Genomic DNA, 22,971 nt, shown 5'->3' with positions numbered 1-22,971 from the left:
AGCAGTAGAATATATATTCAAGTGCCCATGAAACCTATACCAAGATAAGTCATATCATTGGCCATCAAACAAGCCTCAACAAATGTAAAGGAACTGAAATCATACAAAGTGTGTTCTCTGACCACAATGGAATCATTCTAGAAATCAATAAAGAATAACAGGAAAATCTCAACAATTAGAAAGTAAACAACGTATTTCTACATAATCTACAAGTCAAAGAGGGAATCTCAAGGAAAATCAAAAATTACATTTAAGTAAACCAAAATTAAAACACTTAGAATCTGAGCTATTTGATCAGGAGGAAAAAAGAGAAAACACAATATATCAAAATCTGTAGGATACAGCTAAAGCGGTGTTGACAGAAAAACTTATAACACCAAATGCATATAGTAGAAAAGATGAAAAGTCTCAATAATGTAAGCATTCGTTTCAAGAATATAAAAAAGAGGAGTAAAATAAAACCAAAGCAAACACAAGAAAGGAAATAGTAAATAGAAATGAAAGAAACTGAAAACAGAAAAACGAGAGTTCCTGGGTGGCCACTGATGAAGGATGGCAAAATCATCTGGCCATCATTCCGTTTTCTTAATTTCCAGTATCTCTCCAGGACACTGGAGGATTATTTTTTTTCTTTTAAGATAGAGTCTTGCTCTGTCACCCAGGCTGGAGTACAGTGGTGCAATCTCGGCTCACGGCAACCTCTAGGACACTGGAGGCTTTCTAGCGGGCATTTCTAGCTAGTGCAACCGAAGTGGATGATATGAGGATTAGACTACCTGCTCATGTAACTTGCCTGTGCTCTCTGGTCCTGCTCAGTCTTCAGTCCAGATGCACTATTTCCATTTTATGATAGTCTACTGCTAGTACTCAATTTTTTTTACTTGGTAAGTCTGATAGAATCCTATTTATAAAGTGAAGTCCCAGATCCAGTCATTTGGTGCCTCAAGACCAATAAATCTGTCTCCACCAGAATCCAGAATCATGTCAGAAGTTGTTTTTCTTTCTTTTTTTTTTTTTTTTTTTGAGATGGAGTCACCCAGGCTAGAGTGCAGTGGCGCGATCTTGGCTCACTGCAAGCTCCGCCTCCCGGGTTCATGCCATTCTCCTGCCTCAGCCTCCCGAGTAGCTGGGACTTACAGGCGCCCGCCACCGAGCCCGGCTAATTTTTTGTATTTTTAGTAGAGACGGGGTTTCACCGTGTTAGCCAAGATGGTCTCGATCTCCTGACCTCGTGATCCACCGGCCTCAGCCTCCCAAAGTGCTGGGATTACAGGCGTGAGCCACCACTCCTGGCCCAGAAGTTGTTTTTCAAAAGGCATTTAATTCTATGCTGTGGACAGCATGACCCTGATCCATAATCCCATTACAGGGCCCGTGTTAGGCTTTCCATAAGCAACATACTACATCTTTTCTCACTACTGACATCTCTAACATCATAAGGTCTTCCAGATCATATGACTCCAGCAGCAGGACTGCTTACACCACAGCCTGGAACTACTGCAGAGCCCTTTCCTGCACTGTGTCTCATTCAAAGTTAACAACCTTCTGTGTCACCTAATATATGGGCCGGATCAATATTCCTAGATGAACAATATATTACTTCTAGGAATACAAAGAGGCCTACCATGCATGTGCTTCAGTTTTTGTGGTGAGGGAATCAAGATTTGAGCAGTGATTTTCACTCTGGAAGGGATATCCTAGCATACCCATGGCCACTGGAACCCTAAAAATATCACTCAAGCTTTCTACGTTGGACTCCTAAAATCTTCACTGAAAATCCAGGCAGGTCCCTGAATCTTTGTAGCATTTATCTTCCACCCTTGGGAGCACACACATCTTTTACCAAGGCCTCCAGTATACGAGCCACCTGTTGCTTGTTCTGCTGATCAGCATAAAGTTATTAATGTAATGATCAGTGTGAAATTCTGTGGGATGAACAAGCAATACAGATCTCTTTGGACTACATTATTATGAAAGGTAGGAGAGGACTGGGCGTGGTAGCTCATGCCTGTAATCCCAGCACTTTGGGAGGCCAAGGTGGGACGACCACCTGAGCTCAAGAGTTTGAGACCAGCCTGGCTAATACAGTGAAACCCCGTCTCTACTAAAAATACAAAAAAATTAGCCGAGTGTGGTGGCACACACCTGTAGTCCCAGCTACTCAGGAGGCTGAGGCAGGAGAATCACTTGAACCTAGGGGGCGGAGGTTCCAGTGAGCCAAGATCGCATCACTGCACTCCAGCCTCAGCATCAGAGCGAGACTCCGTCTCAAAAAAAAAAAAAAAAGGTAGGAGAGTTAACATAGCCCTGAGGCAAAACCTTAAGTAAATACTGTCTGCCCCATGTGAATACAACTGTGTGACCTTTTCTGATTCAAATGGAAAAGAATGCATCTGCCACATCAATTGCTATATACCATGCTCCTGCTCTAACAATGGCAACTGTCTAGCAAAGCAGCTGTGTTCAGAGCTACTATTCAATTAACTTTGTAGTAGTCTACAGTCCTTTGGGTCTTTAATGGTAGCAATAATTTGTCACCCTCCTCCCATTCCACAGAATGTGATCTCATTATTATTATTACTATTGTTATTATTATTATCTTGGCTGGGAGAAAGGAGGCAGTTTTAGGCATTTCTACTTGTCCTTCCTCGTTGTGATAACTCTTACTCCACCAGACAAGCATCCAACGTAAGAGTTACTCCAACTGCCAGGTATATCAATTCCAATTATACACCCAGGGCCTGGGGAGATGGCTATTGAGTAGGTTTCTAAACCCAGTGGGCCCACTGTGAGAGTCTCAGGCTATCTCTGGTGCAGTTCTAAGAATTTTTCAGAAAGACAAACAGAGAACCTTTGAGGCCTGTCTTGGAGAAACACACCTGCCTTAAAATCCTTACCATGCTTAATCATTGGCTTGGGTGCAACTTGTTGGGAAGAATGGCTTCATACAAATGTAGTAGAATTCACAATACAGCACAGCTGGGCTATCAGTCAATTATGCCCCTGTGGTGGGAAATCCAAGAAGCACATTTTCATGGCTGCCATAGGTATAGTCCATGACTCAGGAACTGGAATACTACTGCAGCAGCATACCACCACCTAACTCGGCATTCTCCCTAAAATAAAATGCTGCACTAGTGCTGTTCCCCATCTACTCCCAGGCTGTCCAGCCACCCGACTCCCACAGACCCGCTCCTAAACTCAAGACCATTATTTCACTATTTTATAAGTTTACTCCCATAAGATTCCCAGATTACCCAAGACTTTTCCCAAATTTTAACATTTCCTCAGCTTATATTGGATGTAAAAATACCCTGAATTTAATTAGTTCCTATGCTTAAATATTCCACTGTTTGTTTTTTTTCTCATGAACGTTTACCTGAAACCTTTCAGGTGACCTGGAATAAATGGCTGAATGATATTTTGAAGTATTGACGCTTCTTCACCATTCTGTACTCACCAAAATTTTTCATTAAAACCACTAGAAGATCTCTTCCCTCCCTTCCCTGCACAACTAAGCATGAAACAACCACTGCAGAACCCAAACCGTAAGTTGCAAATATTAGACTACTGGGCTAAAATAAAATGCCTTTCATCCACACAGAGGAAAGAGTCAGATATAGATTTGGTGAGTGAATGTTTCTACTCATGAAAACTAGACAAATGACACTTTGGGCTGGAGATGAAGAGAAGGCAGGACCACAATGCAGTCTGAAGTCTTTAATGTAGCAGGGGTGGGTCATTAGCCCCTACTGAAATTATGGAACAGAAATAAGTTAAAGTATTGCAGCTTATGTTCAGTGATGTATCAGTAAAGAAAAGTCTTATGTTTATTATATTCTATTTAACATAACAGATTGAACACATATTCACCAGAAATTATTAAACAAAAATTAAAAGATTTAGAACAAATATTTAGAACATTCATTTCAGTGGGAGTCTTCATTCCTCCATGGTTCTAGAACAGTGAAATAAACTGAGTTTGTATCCAGCATTAGACTCTTATTTTAAATCTAACAAATATTGATATACCTAATAAATTAAAACAGACTACTATGTCAAGTTGTATAAGTCACATAAATATAAACATACATTGAAGCAAACCTAAAACTCTCATACACATTCACTACAAAACTTTATGCAGCATAAATTACAGTATAAACAGTGTAAATATGTCTCATTTTGCAATGGACTTCAGTTGCATAAGCTAAAATTTGAAGCTTCACCCAAGGATTTAGCAGCCTGAAATTTACCCAGCATAATATAAAGAAGTTGTGTGACCCTCAATGCAGGGAAACTTGAGAGCCTACATGGCAAAAAAACCGAGGCCATTTCCCCAGGCAATGTGTCCTTCATCTAGAAACAGGTGGATTTGATAAATAGTCACTAGAAGATCATGTTACCACAAATTCTACACTGTCGTAGTCTCCTGAAGTAATTAAGTTACAACTATTAGAGGAAAAAACAAAACTATGAATTACTTTACAGTCCTTACAACTTGTACTATTTCATGAGAATTTTGTATATTAACACTTTGTAATACCTTTGTAAAATAATTAGGAAGCCCACCTTCTCAATGCCCCCAAAAAAGAATGGATGTCATCACTGTAATCATCCTGGATATAAAAGTACCTGTCACTCCAAGGGAAAGAAGCAACTAGAGTACACAGAATTTGATCATGAACAAGCCTCATTTTGTCTTTCCCTCCTAAGTTTCCAGTTCCACCTAGGTCTTTGATTCAATTTAGAAAGAGAGATCGTACCAGCAAAAAAGCAGAAAAACTGGCGGAGGTAAAAGTTGATTACTACTTAATGTTGAGTAGAAAAAAAGGACTTATTAAACAATACTTCTAAATGATTTTCAGAATTCTAATCCTCTCATTCATTGACTTAAAAATAATGTATTACTTAGGGGCCTGGCAAGGTAAAGGGCATCTCCTCTGATCTTTGCCCAAAAATTTTCCTAAAATACTCCATATTATAATATAGTCCATTATAATATATCCATATTATAAATGCATACATTTACTAATTTTCCTTAGGATGAAAAGATGGCTTAAATAATCATTAGCTTAGTTTTAACACCCAAAATAATCGTTGCTATGTAAATTCTAAGGTTTTTTCCATAAAATAATTGAGAAGTTTAGAGGAAGCCAAAAATAATTTAAATGAATCCAAGTTTAATTTAAGAGTTACATCTAAAAGAAGAGATGAACAAAGCAGCAGTTGTAGACTCATTAATAAAATGGAAAAGCTGGTAATTATAAAATTCATGCAATTGCATTGATATGCTAATTTAATTTTATGTATGAGGTTAATTTAAAAGTATGTAGAATAAGCATTAATTCTGAAAATAACACTTGCATGCATATGGTTAACAATATTTAACTAAAGGTATTATTAAGTAGCAAAGAAATATTATTAATTTATAAAGAAGGTAATTTTTCTGTTCGACTACTAAAGTCCCAATTCTAATAAAACACATCAAAATTAACAAATAATTATGATTCATTTAATGTTTCATCTTTAGATTCTTCATACTCTTCTTTGGGAAACATCCAAAGATAGGTTATTCCTAAATTTAAAAATGACAAAATTGAGTTCTTGTTAATATAAAATATCATCATCCGTAGTCACTGAAAATTTTTAGCATTTCTAAGGCTATAAAGCAACAGTTAGAAACTCCCTGTACTTACTGTTTTAATGACTTTTACTTTCTCTAGTTGAACATAAAAAGTTTCCAACAGACTCAATATGTAACTCATATTTTTCTTTTCAACTCTAACTCCTGCCAATACCCTTGGGTGACTTCAACAGTCCCATTTGCAAGAAATGTGTCACAGAAACATTGTGTCACAGGCTTTCACCTCCAGGCCATTTACTCACAACCAAGGCCATTGCCTAGACACTGTCATCACTGGAAGTTGTGCTTTACCTCTAGGTGCTGAAACTTTTCAAATGTTCCTAGATGACATATTTTTATGCTCCTACTTTTTATACCCTTATACTCTCACTAAGCAAGGTCTCTGCCCTCCTTTGAACTCCCAATCCCTTGATTTCCTGCGAATTTCATGTCTCCCTCCTCAGCCCCACAATCATCTCTCTCATTACTCCTGATTAAGTCCCTATAATCCCTGACTCCAAAACTGAAAATTCCTCTTTATCCTCGACATTGCCTGATACTCCGTACTCAGTCCTCTCCTCTGTCCATCTTCACATTAAAGTCTTCATCTACATCTACTGTTAGAACTACATATGACCTTTATGCACTACAGATATCACACTACCTCCTGTACAACACTTCCAATAACTTGCTTAGCATTTTTTCCTGAGTACCTCACTATTACCTAAAATTCAACATGCCAAAAGTAAAACTCAGTACCTTCACAAAATGAGTCCTTTCTCCTGACTTCCTTATTTCTTATTCACTCTCAAAACTCAGCATCATCTTATCCCCATACCTGATCATCTATCTCCTCTCTGCACCCTCTGCAACCCTCATTTGAGTGCATTTTACTTTTCACTTGGATGCTATTACAATCCCCAGATTTTCTTTTTCACCTCCTATTTCACCTCCATTCCAAATCTTTCCACAAATGACATCACATTCTTTCTAAAATGCAAATCTGATAGCTCCACTGCTTTAAAATGTTCTATATATTCATAAAGAAACAAGATATTTGCATACTCTTTCTATCTTCCTATGAAATACTAATTAAAAAAGAAAAAATAGTAACTATAAATGGATAACAACTTAACCAAGAGCTCAAAGTTAACATCATCAATAAGGGATCAGTGAAGATCACATAACTCAAGATGCAATCCTTTGGGAAGTTACATTACGTATACAACGTTCCAGCCAAAAAATTCATAACATGAATCAAATCATAAGTAGGCATCAGCAAGTCTTGAGAAATAGCCTGAAAAATGACGGGCCTGTATTCTTCAAAAATATCAGTATCAAAAAAGACAAAGCCTGACAAACTGCTACAGATTAAGGAAGACCAAACAGACACAACAGCTAAACACAATACATGATCCTGAACTGTATATCTAGTACCAAAATTTTTTAAAAATTCCTATTAAAAACACTATTGGGGCAATAGGGAAAAAAGTGAAATGTAGGCTATAAATTATGTTTGATATTGATGTTCAATTTCCTGACTTTGATAACTGTAGTGTGGTTATACAAAAGATACTCTTGCTCTTAGGTTATATACACTGAAGTATTTACACACAGAGAGAGAAGAAGAATGAGCAAGCAAACGTGGCAAGATGTTAAAAAACAGCAAATCTTAGTAAACAATATACTGGAGTGCTTTGTATTAGCCTAATCATCTTTCTGTACATTTGAAATCATTTAGAATAAAAGATTAAGAAAATATTCCATCTCTTCATTCCCTACTGAATGAAGTACAAATCCTCAGCCCAAAATTCAAGTTAGACTCTTTGAAATACTATCTCAGTATACTTTTATACCTTTCTTAGGTTACTGTGTTAAAGAATTTTTAATCAAAGTGTACATTCCCTAATCGTTTTCTTGACTCCATGAATTTGCTCATGTTCATGTCTAAAATATACTCTCGGCTGGACACAGTGACTCATGGCTGCAATTCCAACACTTTGGAAAGCTGAGGCAGTAGGATCACTTGAGGCCAGGAGTTCAAGACCAACCCGGGCAACATAGCTAGACCCCCACCTATACAAAACAAAAATTTAACTAGCCAGGCATGGTGGTGCATACTTGTAGTCCTATCTACTTGGGAGGGAATGCTGAAGTGGGAGGATCACTTGAGTCCAGGAGTTAGAGGCAGCAGTGGGCTACGATTGAGTCACTATACTCCAGGTTGGGTACAGAGTAAAACCCTGTCTCTTTAAAAAAAAAAAGAAAAAAAAAAGAAAAAAGATAACTGTATGTAGATTTCAGTAGAGGTGACAAAAAAAGAAATAAGTAGAACAGCCTAAAGAAAACCAGAGGTACATAACCAGAGGTCAAGGGTAGGATGAGATTTAAGGGTAATATACCCAGGAAGAGTAGTTGAAGCTATAAAAATCTGTGAGTTATCTCAGAGTGAATATGTAAAGAGAGAATGGGACCAACAATCACTCCTAGGACAGCATTTGTTATTAGGTGGTAGCAAAGGTAAATATGGTAAGTGAGGCAGGACAAGGGCCATAACACAGCCTACAGGATACTAAGACATAAAAAGGAGCAGTAGTAAGATAGCATTAAATATGACAGTATATTCAAAGGAAAAGAGGACTAAGTAGAGGTATAAACGAAAAGAAGAAGATTCTGCCCTCAGAATAATGTACCATATTGTACCCTCAGAGGGTACGATAGAAAAAAAGAAAGAAAAAGAAGAAGAAGGAAAAACATGGAGTACAGAGAGAGAATTTCTAATAGCATGATGGACATGGGGCCCAAATGAAGTTTTAAAGGTCAGTAAGTATTATAATGAGTGCCTACTATGTGCCAAACACTGTATTTAAGAAAGGAAATAGGCTGGAATTAGCAATGATTGGTTATACACTAATGTTTGGAGAAGGGAGGATACAGAAGGGAAGGGAATAAAATCTATATTCCATAATTATTACGTAAATAAATTCTTACCAGAAGATAAGAAGATTCATCTTGTGTAATTTGAGCCTGCAAACAACATAAAAAATAAGGAAAATTTAAGTTGGCCTCTAGCACTGGTTTTCCCATTAATAAATATACATTATGGAATACAAGTTATAATACATTTTTAAACATAATTATTAGTTTTATAAAGAAGTTCTGTAATGTAGTTTAACACTGTAATGTAAAATAATGAACTGGTTTACCAGAGGCTATTTATGGAAAACACAGCATATTAAGTTGTTAAATAATCCTTACAAGATTACATTTAAGAGAAGGCCTCTTGCTGAGGCAGAAAAGAACCCAACAAGTTCAAAGTTATGCAGTGATCTGAATTAGCACTCAGAAGTATGTCCAGGTTTTTTGCACACTGCTCTGCCTATTCAAACATCCTTTTCATTTAAGATACCTCTGACTTCTTTTTCCTATCCACCCCCCACCTCATTCTCCTTCTTAAATGGATAAGCAAAGTGAAACACATTATCACTAATATGCCATTATTGCAAACAATTCATGCTACCACTGATGCAATATTATATGAACCATAAGTTTCCACTGCTTGCAAAATGGCATTCTGTTTTCATGATTATCTTATGAAAATATTCTTCATGAAATTAAATACTGCAATTTTACTGACTATGAAATAGAAGTTGCCATAGAATGACCGTACTAAGAACTCACAGAAACATTCATGATAGCATGTGCAGGAAAGAAAGACATGTTAAAGAAAGAAATGCACGTTAAGGAAAGAAAATAACTTGTGATTTATCAATTCACATTGCATTATTAGTTACATAAATTTTATCCAACTTAATTTTTTTAAAATCCAGAACTACAAATTATTTTGATAAACACACCAGACTACATCTAATTTCGCTCTGACCACAATATCAACTCAATAGTGCTTTAGAGCACGGTTTAATTCATGAGTTGTTTTCCAGGAATGAAATAATGACATCAAGGCTATAACTCAAGGGTAGATCTTTGTTAAATGCATTAAGTAGGAATGTAGCTTCCATGGAGAGGAAATGACTACATGAAGTGACACAATGTATAATTTTATATTGCAGTTAAAATGTTTTTCTTCATCAATACCGATGAGCTTCGTAACTTGTATTTTTTAATTGGCATTAAGATTCACATTTAACAGAAAAGTATGTTCCCTTTGCTCAGTAAATTCCAGTCAACACACACCTTCTACATTCCTCCACTCACTCCTATACCTGTGCTCTCTGTGCTCACTGCTTGCAGGTGCTCTGTACTTCTAATTATGATGAATAGTGATAATATGGTAGCCTCATTTCTATAGTTCTGTATATTGAATGTGACAATTAAGAAAACTACTGATCTCATGCAATCCCAGGATAACTAAACTGTTACAGAGGCCAGTCTTTTTAATACAATAAAAATTGTGTTAACTTACTTTCACTAGATAACCTTTGGCATTTCAGCCTGTGTCTATATTTTTCATTTTCTTCAAGCATTCTTGAAATGACTTTGTATACTCTATTCCATACTAAAACCTTAAAAAGATAAGCACAGTAAAGGAATGCTGAGCAGAAAAGTAGGAATATATTTTCATGGAGGCAACTGGGAATGCCTCAACTGTGTTGTATGTCAATTGATATCATCATTATAAGGCTATATTAGCATTTAGAGAACTAAAACCTAAGTGTAATTGTTTACCCACGATCACTGAAATATCTGTTCTCTTTTTCAAAATTCCTAGAATTTCCTCCCTGTAGTATTTAAATTAACTGTCCTGGATGAAATTGCCTTTCAAAGGCAATGACTATAAAGTCCTACCTAATCAATTCTAACACATTCCATTCTGAAAGCTAATTTTAAAAAATTGTGAATTTATATTCCAATGATTAAACCATTGGGCAATGATTTGATTTTTTAAACATATTTTATTCCAGTTAAGAATTAAGTATTTCTCCTAGGACATACCAAAGCAATAGTACTAGAGAACATAAATATACTGGAATCGAAAGAACAAGGATTATAGAATCAAACAAATAGATCTAGGCTCAAATTCTAGCTTTGCCATTTTCCAGTTGCCTGGGAGAGTATTTTAATCTCATCTAGGAATAACTTCATACATTGGATTATAAGAATTAAGGAAAAAATATTTAATACATATGTAAAGCACTTACCCTAGTATCTGGCACACAGTAATTAAAAGGAAGTATTGATTATTGCTCTTTTCTCCTCACCTAAAAGGAACTGGTTCTCAGAAGAAACATCTCTTAGTACAGTGGGAAAATTAGATGCTCACTCAAAATATATTTGGTGCAAGAGTTATTAACCTCTAATGCTATTTTATACCATACACGGATATCAAACAAACTCAAAGCTCAGAAACAACACAATGTTATGTGTCACTATCAACCAATAATTTCTTTAAACTGAATATAAACGATGCTGTGAAATATAAACATACAGTGGTAATCAAAGACTTGCAGAGCATCCGGTCTTGAATATGTTCAAAACACTCAAGTTACCATGACATTTGGACAACTAGCAGCGAGAACAGCTCAGCAGCAGTGGCTCATCCTTCTCAGATTGCCTGCTAGAAACCTATTACATATTCCTTGTCTTTAAAAAGACCAATATAGATACATTATTCTTTTCTATGAAATCTGTGATTTTTCTTCTTATACTACATTATCTATCACAGTTTATTATATTCTGTGGAACATATATCATGCTTTGAAAAATCCTCCAGTGGGGTTACACTTTGATTAAAATGTGTTTTATACCTTCACTGGTATAACACTGGAAGGACAATTCTTTATGGTTAATAAATATTTCCAAACCCAGTTCCATTTCTTCTGAATTACTTCTATTTCTCATTTCAGAAAATTAAATTATTCAAAAGATGGTACTATTTTCACTGTCTTGAATATCTTTACACATTTGTATTTAGAGAGGATGATCTAAAATTCAAATATTGCTCATTCTCCTTTACAGCAATATACCTTTTTCTTTTTCTTCATTATTTTGGAAGCTTCATTCAATGGTATGGGAAAATCATACTTTTTAGCTGCATCCTTCTGGATTAAACCTAATTTTTAAGAAGAAAGTGAAAAGGTCAACATATATAAGGATTTACTATCTGAAAATAGAGACCATATAAATGTTTCTTGAGGTCTCCTTGGGGATTTTTATACTTGTTGGTATATTTCTGATCACCAGGTAATACTGGTTTACCAGTTCACTAATAACATGTTGAAAACAACCAAGAAAACTAGACATAATCTGGCAAGTACCCAGAAAACCATCCAGCTAGTTCAGTCTTCCTTTTCTGGTTTGTAAGGCTAGTCCCAAAAAGACCAACAACAGAATGAACAAATACCAGATAACACATCTTGCCCCAGTGTATCTCTACAGTCTCCATTCTTCTCAGTGCAACTCCAGACAGACATTACACTTCCAACTACACAATACCTTGTGGTACCTCAAATGTATCTAATTTCTAACACTTTCAGCACACACACACACACACACCCTCCCAGGCAAATTTCTACCTGTTCTTCAAGACTCAGCTCACACGTACCTCTTCTCTACAGCCTTCCCTCAAACACACGCAGCTCAACACACAGCATGGATCTGAGAACACCTTCTTCATAGCACTCAGCCTATCTTTTTATCATGTGTTTCCTCCACTAGGCTCTGACCTCCTGGAGGGCAATGGCCATGTGTGTCTTAGTCATCTTTCCACTCACACTACCACACACATAGTAGTACTAATAAGGGTTATCCAGAGTGAACGGGCTTCCTGAATACTCACTAAACCATGCTGCCTTCTCAAATGTTAACTGTTAGAAGAAAACCCAAGGGTTTGTTTTTCCAAAGACAAAATTATAAAATAATGAGCGTGTGTTCCCTGAAAGCCTTTATATTGGCTCTCATTTTGTCTAGAATATTCCCTCACCTCAACCCTTCCCCACCTTGTTCCTGCCCTACCACCACTCTATCTCTCACTTTCTTCTACTCTTTCAATACTTAGCTTTCCAGGGAGCCTTCTCTGATCTGACAAAGCACCCTCTGCTCAGGTATCATAGGATTTATCACACTGTTTACTTGAGGAGTGTGTTTTATTATTCACTAGAGATCCAGTATCCAATTCTATAGATATCAGCTATACAATAAGTATTCCATTTGTTGAATAAACTAGAATATGCTCTAAAATGGCATTTTGCAATTTGTGAGAAACATGCCACTGATTTGGAGCAGGTCACAGACATACAGACATAGCACTAAGGAATATTAACTCATATGGTGAGAAACTCATTCTCTCTCCAGTTTTTTTCAATATTCTGATTACATTTGGGAGAAAATCTAAGTTTGGTACCAGTATGTTATTAAGACTTCTCTAAGACTTGGTCGTCTCCCTTCGTGACCACAGACAACTCTCAGCAGACAACCTACTTAGCTAGAATTTAATAATATTGTTTTGCCTTTATTATATTTGTTTCTAATTAATTTCTATTTATAGCAAATGGTACAGTTTTCCACTGAAGTAATAATTTAAAGTGTTCTAAAAAGAAATTTAGTTAAAAGGGAAAATGTGCCTATTTAAATAAATATATTAATAATAGTACAGATGATATGCAGATATGGCATAGGAAAATAATTTAAGTTTGGGAAACTCTGCTCTTCATAAACCCATATTTATCCTTCCCTCTAAATGCCTACAACCTTTGGAATACTATATTTGCATCATTCCCAAATGTTTCTTGTTTGTAAGTCTTACCAACATAGACCTATACTCCTTGAGAAAACACAGGAGTCATCAAGTCTACCCGTAATTACTTGGGGATCTAAAATACAAGTACAGAAGACGTGAAAAAGAAAAAAGACATATTTCTTCCACTCATTTTGTGTATTGTACTGAGACTAGCTCCAGTGTATTTCATGGATTTTGTCCTGACTTATGTTTCAAATCTTTCTCTAGTCCTCTTTCCACCCACTCTGACCCAGTCGTTCTTCCTAATCACTGTCATCACTGATCCATACTCGGTGCTTTGTTCACATGTTTTCCCCACCTAATTCTCCTATCTCAGCCCCATGTGTAAATCTCATGGAGCTTCCACTATCATAAAGCCTTCCCTGATTCTCTCATTCCCCAAATTATTCACCACTTCCAAAACATTCATTTGTACTTCCACAATAGCATTCATCATCTTCCATTACATACAAATCATAAATGTAGCTTTCAAGTTCTGTAAGGACAGGGAACTGGCCTGATTTATTAGTCTTATTTGAAATGTTAGAAGAGTTGCTGATTTGCCTACTCCTGAATCTCTAAACTTCAGTACATTTCCAAACAGCTTACAAGTTTATCTTCCAGAAGTGCACCTGTCTCTGATAACTTTACTCCACCCCACCATTCAAAAATCTTCAGTGACTATAAAAATAACAGTCTGCAAGGTATTCCATAATGTGGTCCAAAACTTACTTTTCATTCATTCAATAAATAGCACATGTCCACTGTGTGCTAGACATGCTAATCACCATCTTCCCTTCAAGTCATCTCTGTTCAATGTGCCAGCATTTACTGGGCACTTATTCTATGCCGAACACTGTGCTAGGCACTCTGCATGTATTACTTAATTTAACCTTCACAGCAAACCTTTAAGGTAGGAACCATTACCCCCATTTTACAGATAAGGACACTGAGAATAATAGTGGTTAACTAACTTGGCCAATATGATCCTGCTGATGAATGACAGAACCACGGATTATGTCTTTCTGACTTCAAAGCCAATGCTCTTCATAACCTCTACTGTCCCACTAGTGACTTCTCTATTCATGTTCCCTGATTTTCTGCATCTGTGCCTCTTCTTTCCTTGAACTTGACTATCAAAGCTATTCTCAGCTCACTCTTACAACACTCATATCTACTAGTTTATATTTCCATTATTCATTAATTAATAAGTCCCTCGAGAGCAGACTACTTGTCTGATACATCTGTGTCACTAACATCTGACCTAGTGCTCACACGATAGGTTTTAAATAAATGTTACTGAATGAATAAATTCATCTTTTTCCCTATAGGGGGTGACACATTTAATGAATGTCTACTTAATATTAACATTAAGGGCTGGGTGTGGTGGTTCACGCCTGTAATCCCAGCACTTTGGGAGGCCAAGGTAGGTGGATCACCTGAGCTCAGGAGTTCAAGACCAGCCTGGCCTACATGTTGAAATCCCATCTCTACTAAAAATACAAAATCAGCCAGGCATGGTGGCACACGCCTGTGGTCCCAGCTACTTGGGAGGCTGAGGCAGGAGAATCACTTGAACCTGGGAGGCAGAGGTTGCAGTGAGCCGAGATCACACCACTGCACTCCATCCTGGGAGACAGTGCGAGACACTGTCTCAAAACAAAAACAAAAACAAACATTAAGTACACCCAAGACTGAGTAAAACCTAAGCACTTAAGCACTTTCTGGCTTGGTTTAAACATAAGTCTACCCCAGGACCCCCTTCCCTTGACTATAACCTTGGCTTCGCAAGCACAGCAGCGTGGTCACTAACGTTAGTGGCTCCATTATCCATCCAGTTGCCCAGCACAGAGACTTCAGACTTGGCCGCAATTCTTCCTTCTCTCTTTCAGTAAGCTATGTGATCCTGTCCATTCTGCCTCCGCTGCCACTGCCTTAGTTCAGGCCTTCACTCTTTCCACTGGACTACTGTAACTGTCTTGTAACTGTTCTCTGGCCTCCAATCTCTCCCACCCACCAACTCCTTTGTGGCAGAGTTAACAAGTTCAGATCCAGAGGAAGGAGAACTAGGAGGTGGGAGCGGCTGGACTGAGAAGAAGCTCCAAAACACTTCCCAAAGCCTAACTTGCACCAAAAAAAGCTCATGGTCACTGTTTGGTGGTCTGCTGCCAGTCAGATCCACTATAGTTTTCTGAATCCCAGTGAAACCATTACATCTGAGAAGTATGCTCTGCAAATCGATGAGATGCACCGAAAACTGCAACGCCTGCAGCCAGCATTGGTCAACAGTAAGGTCTGCATTCTCCACGACGACGACAGACCATGCACTGCACAACCAACGCTTCAAAAGTTGCACAAATTGGGCCACAAAGTTTTGCCTCATCCACCACATTCACCTGACCTCTTGCCAACCAACTACCACTTCTTCAGGTATCTGGACAACTTTTTGCAAGGAAAACGCTTCCACAACCTGCAGAACACAGAAAATACTTCCCAAGTGTTCGTCAAATCCCAAAGCGTGGACTTTTATACTACAGGAATAAACAAACTTATTTCTTGTTGGCAAAAATGTGTTTATTGTAATGGTTCCTATTTTGATTAATAAAGATGTGCTTGAGCCTAGTTAAAATGACTTAAAACTCAAGGTCCAAAACCACAATTACTTTTGCACCAACTTAATAAATTATCAAAGTAAATTTGGTTTTGAAAGAATAGTAAACAAAATATTTATATATTTTTCAACTTGAGATTTTTTTTTCAGTCTAACCTGCCTCTAAGTCAATCTCCCCTGTACAGCACGGTCAATAAATCTGACCCTATCACTTTTCTTTTTTCTTTTCTTTTTGAGACAAAGTCTTGCTTGTCACCCAGGCTGGAGTGCAGTGGCACGATCTCAGCTCACTGCAACCTCCGCCTCCTGGGTTCAAGCCATTCTCCTGACTCAGCCTCCCCAGTAGCTGGGATTACAGCAGGCGCGCACCACCACACCCAGCTAATTTTTGTATTTTTGGCAAAGATGGGGTTTCACCATGTTGGCCAGGCTGGTCTCAAACTCCTGATCTCGTGATCTGCCCACCTTGGCCTCCCAAAGTGTTGGGATTACAGGCATGAGCCACCGCGCCTGGCTCCTATCACTTTTCTTATTCAAAATCTTTTAAAGCAGGGCTTCTGGGTAGCTTAAGACAATAGCAAGCAAAAACCACACCCTCAGCATCACTTTAAGACAAAGGATGCTGAAGCTGCAAAACAACTGTAAGTAAAATGAGAAAAAAACATTAAATTGCTGCTCTATGATCCCATATGCCCTAGACCTACAGGGGCTCTGGCCAGCAGGGAAGAGAAACTAGAAATACTACAAAAATGCCTCAAAAGAGCTGACGTGACCAACATTAAGATTAAATGCATTCTAAATCTGAAAATAGTAAAAAAAATAAATAAATAAATAACTAGGCAAATCAGAGTACAGACTATAGGGGAGAAATTTAAAGAGACAGACACAACACAGAATGCCAAGCATGCAATATAATGGACAGACTCAGTTTAAAGGGGCAAGCATGATTTAAAGGAGCAGTCTTTCAATGGCATGGTTTCTGAGGTGAAAAGAACAAAAAGGATGATAAATTAGGTCACAAAGAAAATACCAGTAACATCCATAAAATGAAGGCATCACAAACAATACTCTCTGATCACAATAAACCTAGAGTTTACTAGCAAAAATTAAAAATAAAAATTAGAAATGCGCTGAAAACTTAAATTTTAAATCTATTAAGCAACTATATGGAAAAGAGTTAAAAATTACAGAATTTCTTCTAAAAATAGTGACAACGAAAACACTACATATTGGAATCTATGGGATGTATTTAAAGTAGTGGTTAGAAGAAAATTCACTGCACTAAACACTTAATAACAATAATAAAAATAAATGAATTAAATTCCCTGCTCACAAAAAAGTATAAGAAGAACAAAGTAAACCAAAAGAAAGCACAAGAAATAATAATATTAAAAGCAGAAATTAATGAGGAAGAGACTAGAGAAACAAAATATCTAACGAATAAATCAAAACCTTGATTTTTCCTTTTTAGAGACAGGTTCTCACTCTGTCTCTCCAGGCTGAAGGCCATATCATAGCTCACTGCAGCCTTGAACTGCTGGCCTTAAGCAATCCTCCCGTCTCAGCCTCCCAAAGTGGTAAACTTAGAGGTGTGAGGCACTGTATCGGGCCCAAATCTTAGCTTAGTAAAAAAAAAAAAAAAAATTAACAAAATAGTCAAAATGTTGGCTAACTTGATCAAGAAAAAGACAGAGTGCACATATATATAGGAAAAGAAATGACAAGAGGGAAATAACCATTAAAACGCAAGAAAATGTTTAAACATCATAAGACACTACTTTGCAGACATCTATGCAAACGAATTTGGAAACCCAGATGAGACAGATAATTCCTTAAGGAAATACAGATTACTAAAATTGACCTATTAGAGTTAGGAAGCCTACAAAGATCAATCTCCATAGAAAACATAGAGAAGGTTATTAAGGAATTATCCCTCAAAAAGCACTAGGTTCTAATAGTTACAGAAGAATTCTACCTAAGCTTCAAAGACAAGATAATCCCAACATTCTATAAATTATCCAAGAGCATAGAAAAGGAAAAATTCCTAATTCCTTTTATGAAGTAAACACAGCTCTGATACCTAAACCAGATAAAGGAGTACAAAGAAAAACTAAAGATCACTATCTCTCCTGAATACTGATACAAAAATTATAAACAAATTATTAGCAGAATCCAACACTGTATTAGGAAAATTACACACCAAAACCAAGTAGAATTTACTTCAGGAATGCAAGGTTGGTACAATAATTGGAAATCCATTTATATTACATTCCATATTAATAAACAAATCTAAAGAAAAAGAGTATCTCCATAGACCTGAGAAACCCTCTGACAAAAATCAACACCCATTCATGATAAAAAAAAAAAAACAAACACTGAAAAAATAAGTATGGAGGGATACTTTGTAATATTTGAAATATATAATCCTTAGTCACATAGCCAGTACCTGATTTAATGGGGAAACACTATAGGCATTTCCCCTATGGTCAGGAACAAGGCTAAGATGCCCGCTATCTCCAATACTATCCAACATTGCCCTTGAGGTATCAGCAAATGCAATTAGACAAAATAAATCTATTGCAGGCAAATGGGTGAAAAAAAATAAAATTATATCTCTTTACAAATAATATATATTGATACCTGGAAAATCATGAGAATCAAGGATAAAACTAATAATAAAAGTATCCAGTGAGTAAACAAAAACCAATAGGCTAAGTGAAAAAAGCCAGTCACAAAAGCCCACATACTCTATGATTCAACATATACGAAATGTCCAAAATGGTTAAATCTATGGAGACAGAAAACAGATTAGTACTTGGTTAGGGCTGGGCTTATGCGTAAAGGAGGGCAAATAGGGAGAATGGTGAGCAATGTTTAACGGATACAGGGGTTCTCTTGGGGTTAAAAATATTCTAAAATGGTGATGGTTGAATATGTGAACTAAGCATGCAAAACGGGTGAATTGTATGCACTGTGAACTATAGTTTAATAAAGCTGTTATTCCGTAAGTACAAGTGATGGAAATGTTCTATATCTTAATTATGGTGGCAGTTACTAGGGTGTGTATAAATCTGTCAAACCTCTTCGAAACATACGTAAATTAATCCTCAGTAAAGCTGACTTAGAAAAACCAAGAGAGGGCCTGGCGCGGTGGCTCACGCCTGTAATCCCAACACTTTGGGAGGCTGAGGCGGGTGGATCACCTGAGGTCAAGATTTCGAGATCAACCTGGTCAACATGGTGAAACCCCATCCCTACTAAAAATAGAAAAAAATTAGCTGGGCATTGGTGGCAGGTGCCTGTAATCTCAGCTACCTGGGAGGCTGAGGCAGGAGAATCGCTTGAACCAGGGGAGCGTAGGTTGCAGTGACCCAAGATCACGTCATTGCACTCTAGTCTGGGCAACAGGGCAAGACTCCATCTCAAAAAAAAGAAAGAAAAAGAAAAACCAAGAAAGGCTTGGCCCAGTGGCTCATGCATGTAATCCCAGGGCTGTGAGGCTGAGGCAGGAGGATCAGTTGGGCCCAGGAGTTCGAGACCAGCCTGGGTAACACAGGGAGACCCCCCCGCCCCCCATGTCTACAAAAGATAAAAAAAGTAGCTGGGCATGGAGGTGCCCACCTGTGGTCCCAGCTACTCGGGAGGCTGAGGTCAAGGCTGCGGTCAAGGCTGCAGTGAGCCTGTGATTGGACCACCACACTCCAGCCTGAGTGACACAGCAATACCCCGTCTCAAAAAAAAAAAAAAAAAATTGGCTTCCTATACACAGTGAGCATTTAGAGGGCATTTCGTAAAAAGAAACCCCATTTACAACAGCAAAGAAGATTAAATATTTAGGAATAAGTTGATCAAGACATATGCAAAACCTATGGGAGGATAATTTTTGAATTGAAGACATTTCCTGATTTAAACGTAAAGCTCATGCTGTTTTTAGCCAGGATGACTCAACAGCATCCGGAAGTCAATCCTCCAGGTGAGGGGGTTTGCGAAGTCAACGAATCTCACTCAGCTGGAACGGAAACACGCAGGCCAAAAGCCTCCGTGAGGGGGCCGTAAAGGCTCCATTCAACAACCTCTCCTCTTATGTCAGGTGCCCGTGCCGGCCACAGCTGGCCCTCTGAAGGGAATTACTGGGCTTCTCCTTCGCCCCTGCGCGTGCTCGCAACACGGCCTGACAGGAAAGCTGCCCCCAGCCTCCTGCGTGCCGCAAGATGGCGCCCAGCAGCTGAGCCCGCTCCGCCCCGTCCCGCCCCGCCGCGCCCGGTCCCGCCCTGCCCCGCTGCACCACCTGCACGCGCCGACTGTCTGGTGCCGCTCTGAACTCTCGATGCCCGCAGCTGGGAGGAGGCAGAGGCCGCAGCCTCCACACCAGGGGTCGTGGGGACCCTGAGCTGGGAACCGAGGGGCAGCTCGCTGCCACCCTGAACGCCCGCCACCGCCATTGCTTCCCTCGGCTTCTCCTGGCGACAGCCTGCCCCAGGCCCCTGACCCCAAAGGCCTTGAGCTCCACGGCCGCCCAGTTGCAGGACGCCACTGCACTGATGCGAGCCGAAGCGCGTCACATAGACGAAGCGCGCCGAGTCCTGCTCCCGACCCCGGCCTGCCGCCGCCATCGCAGCCTCAGTCAACGGCAGCCGGGCCCTCAGCAAACACGACGCCACAGGCGCCAGACTGCCCACTGTGCAGGCGAGGGATGCGGGAGCGGTTAGGGCCAGACCACCCTGCGGGGATTGGGGGGAGGGAGTTAGGGCCAGACCACCGCGTGAGGATTGGGGGGGGTTAGGACCAGACCACCCTGTGGGGATGGGGGGGACAAAGGGTTAGGGCCGGACCATGGCACCGCGATGAGGGGGACGGGTTTAGGGCCGGACCACCCCCCTAGGGATGCGGTGACAGGGTTAGGGCCAGACCACCGCGTGGGGATGGGGGGAGGGGGTTACGGCCGGACCACCTCGCAGGGATGGGGGTGGTGGGGTTAGGGCAGGACCACCCAGTAGGGATGGGGTGACGGGGTTAAGGCCGGATCACCACGTGGGGGTGGCGGGGACCACCATGCAGGGTGGGGCAGGGAAGTTAGGGCCAGACCACTGCTGGGGGGCTGGAGGGAGAAAGCTGGGCTTGAGGAGCGAGGCAGCCGGTCACTGCGTGGGCTGCAGGAGTAGGGGAAGGGCACGCTGCTGGGAGGTGAGAGGCCCAGGGGAGATGGAGGGAAGTGGGAAGAGGGCGGGTGTTGGGTTGGGGACGATGACGAGGTGCAGACCCCTCAGAAGAAATGAGCTACTCCAAGAAGAGGGTGGGAGAAAGGGACCAGGTCACTACTAGGGAGACGCCCCCATGCTTGGGTGCGGGAGGATTTCAGAGTGAGGAACCCACACGGGACTTGAGCAGCCTGGAGCATCAGCCACGTGACGCTGGGAGCCTGGGGGAGAACACAGAGCCCTTGGCTGCCGGAAGGTTCCAGTATGCCCTTGGCCTGGCAGGTGGTAGTGATGGAGCTGTGATCCCCAAGAGACACAGGGGTAGGGGGACAGGGGTCTGAGGCCCAAGCTGGTTAGGCACTGGCCAGCTGGGTTATTTGGGCAAGCCCTTTTCCCTCTCTCTCTCTTTTTCTTTCTTTTTTTTGAGACGGAGTCTCGCTCTGTCACTCAGGCTGGAGTGCAATGGTGCGATCTCGGCTCACTGTAACCTCCACGACCCAGATTCAAGCGATTCTCCTGCCTCAGCCTCCTGAGTAGCTGGGATTACGAGGATGTGCCACCACACCCCGCTTATTTTTGTATTTTTAGTAGAGGCCAGGTTTCACCATGTTGGCCAGGCTGGTCTTGAATTCCTAACCTCAGGTGATCCGCCAGCCTCCCAAAGTGCTGGGATTACAGGCGTGAGCCACCACACCCAGCCCCTTTCCTTCTCTGAGCCTCCATTGTCTTCAAATGTTAACTCAGGAGAACTGAGTTGTGAGGATAAATCAAAATAAGGCATATATTCAGCATCTGGCACACAGTGAGAGATAGTTATCCATTCAGGACGTAAACTGTGAGGTGCACATTGTAATTTCTTTACATTGAAACTTTACAAATAGGTTTCCACTAACCCTTTTTTTTTTTTCTTTTGTCAGTCTTGCTCTTTCTCCAGGGCTGGAGTCCAGTGATGCAATCTCAGCTGACTGCAATTTCTGCCTCCCAGGTTTAAGCGATTCGCTTGCCTCAACCTCCGGAGACTGCAGGCGTGCACCACCACGCCCAGCTAATTTTTGGCCTGGCTAATTTTTGCATTTTTAGTAGAAAGAAGGTTTTGCTATGTTGGTCAAGCTGGTCTTGACCTCCTGGGCTCAAGCAATCTGCCAGCCTTGGCCTCCCAAAATGCTGAGATTAGAGGCGTGAGCCACTGCGCCCAACCCGACCATCTCTTTAAATTCATGTAGCATTTTATGGCAGAGGAACTGGGGCTCCAAAATGTGAAGTTACTTCCCCAAAGTAATAGGCAGTGACAGAGACATACTTTCTTAAACACTTGTTATTAAATTATATGCAGAAACCTGCACAAATCATCACTATGTAGATGGCTGAATTTTTACACAGTGAATATACTTGTGTAAGATCCACCAAGGTTAAGAAATGGTGCACTGCAGAAGCACCTCATGACCTCACCCAATCACCATCCTTTTCCTGTTTTTTTGATTTCAGATGTCATCAATGGCCAGGTGCCTGTAATACCAGTACTTTGGGAGGCCGAGGAGAGAGGATCGCTTCAGCTGTGGAGGTCAAGGCTGCAATGAGCCCTGATCACACCACTGCACTCCCCCTGGGCAATGGAGCAAGACCCTTTCTCCAAAAAAAAAAAAAAAAAAAAAAAAAAGTCATCAGTTAGGTTTGTCCATTTAATTTATTTAATTTACTTCTTTTTTTTTTTTGAGACGGAGTCTTGCTCTGTCTCCCAGGCTGGAGTGCAGTGGCGCGATCTCGGCTCACTGCAAGCTCCGCCTCCCAGGTTCACACCATTCTC

General features: G+C 40.0%; 1 protein-coding gene across 3 annotated transcripts; it reads right to left on the bottom strand.

Moving 5' to 3' along the window:
- Nucleotides 1-297: 297 nt before the first annotated feature.
- C5orf47 (chromosome 5 open reading frame 47) lies at nucleotides 298-20,676 on the bottom strand. Of its 3 annotated transcripts, none has more exons than XM_017009028.2 (5): nucleotides 20,258-20,676; nucleotides 11,608-11,693; nucleotides 10,047-10,146; nucleotides 8,615-8,650; nucleotides 298-3,003 (listed from the first exon to the last, which is right to left on the bottom strand). In XM_017009028.2, exons 1-4 carry the CDS (start codon nucleotides 20,580-20,582, stop codon nucleotides 8,631-8,633), a joined length of 531 nt encoding a protein of 176 aa, XP_016864517.1. In that variant the 5' UTR covers nucleotides 20,583-20,676; the 3' UTR covers nucleotides 298-3,003; nucleotides 8,615-8,630. The 3 variants fall into 3 exon arrangements, with proteins under 3 accessions (XP_016864517.1, NP_001138426.1, XP_011532733.1); NM_001144954.2 differs by lacking the exon at nucleotides 298-3,003 and adding an exon at nucleotides 3,706-5,575; XM_011534431.2 differs by lacking the exons at nucleotides 298-3,003; nucleotides 10,047-10,146 and adding an exon at nucleotides 3,706-5,575.
- Between the last annotated feature and the right edge of the window lie 2,295 nt (nucleotides 20,677-22,971).

The sequence above is a fragment of the Homo sapiens genome, chromosome 5 (genome assembly GCF_000001405.40).
Source record: "Homo sapiens chromosome 5, GRCh38.p14 Primary Assembly".
NCBI classification, from domain to species: domain Eukaryota; kingdom Metazoa; phylum Chordata; class Mammalia; order Primates; family Hominidae; genus Homo; species Homo sapiens.
Note: the sequence above shows the minus strand (reverse complement) of the source record. Positions and strands in the feature narration are given on the sequence as shown.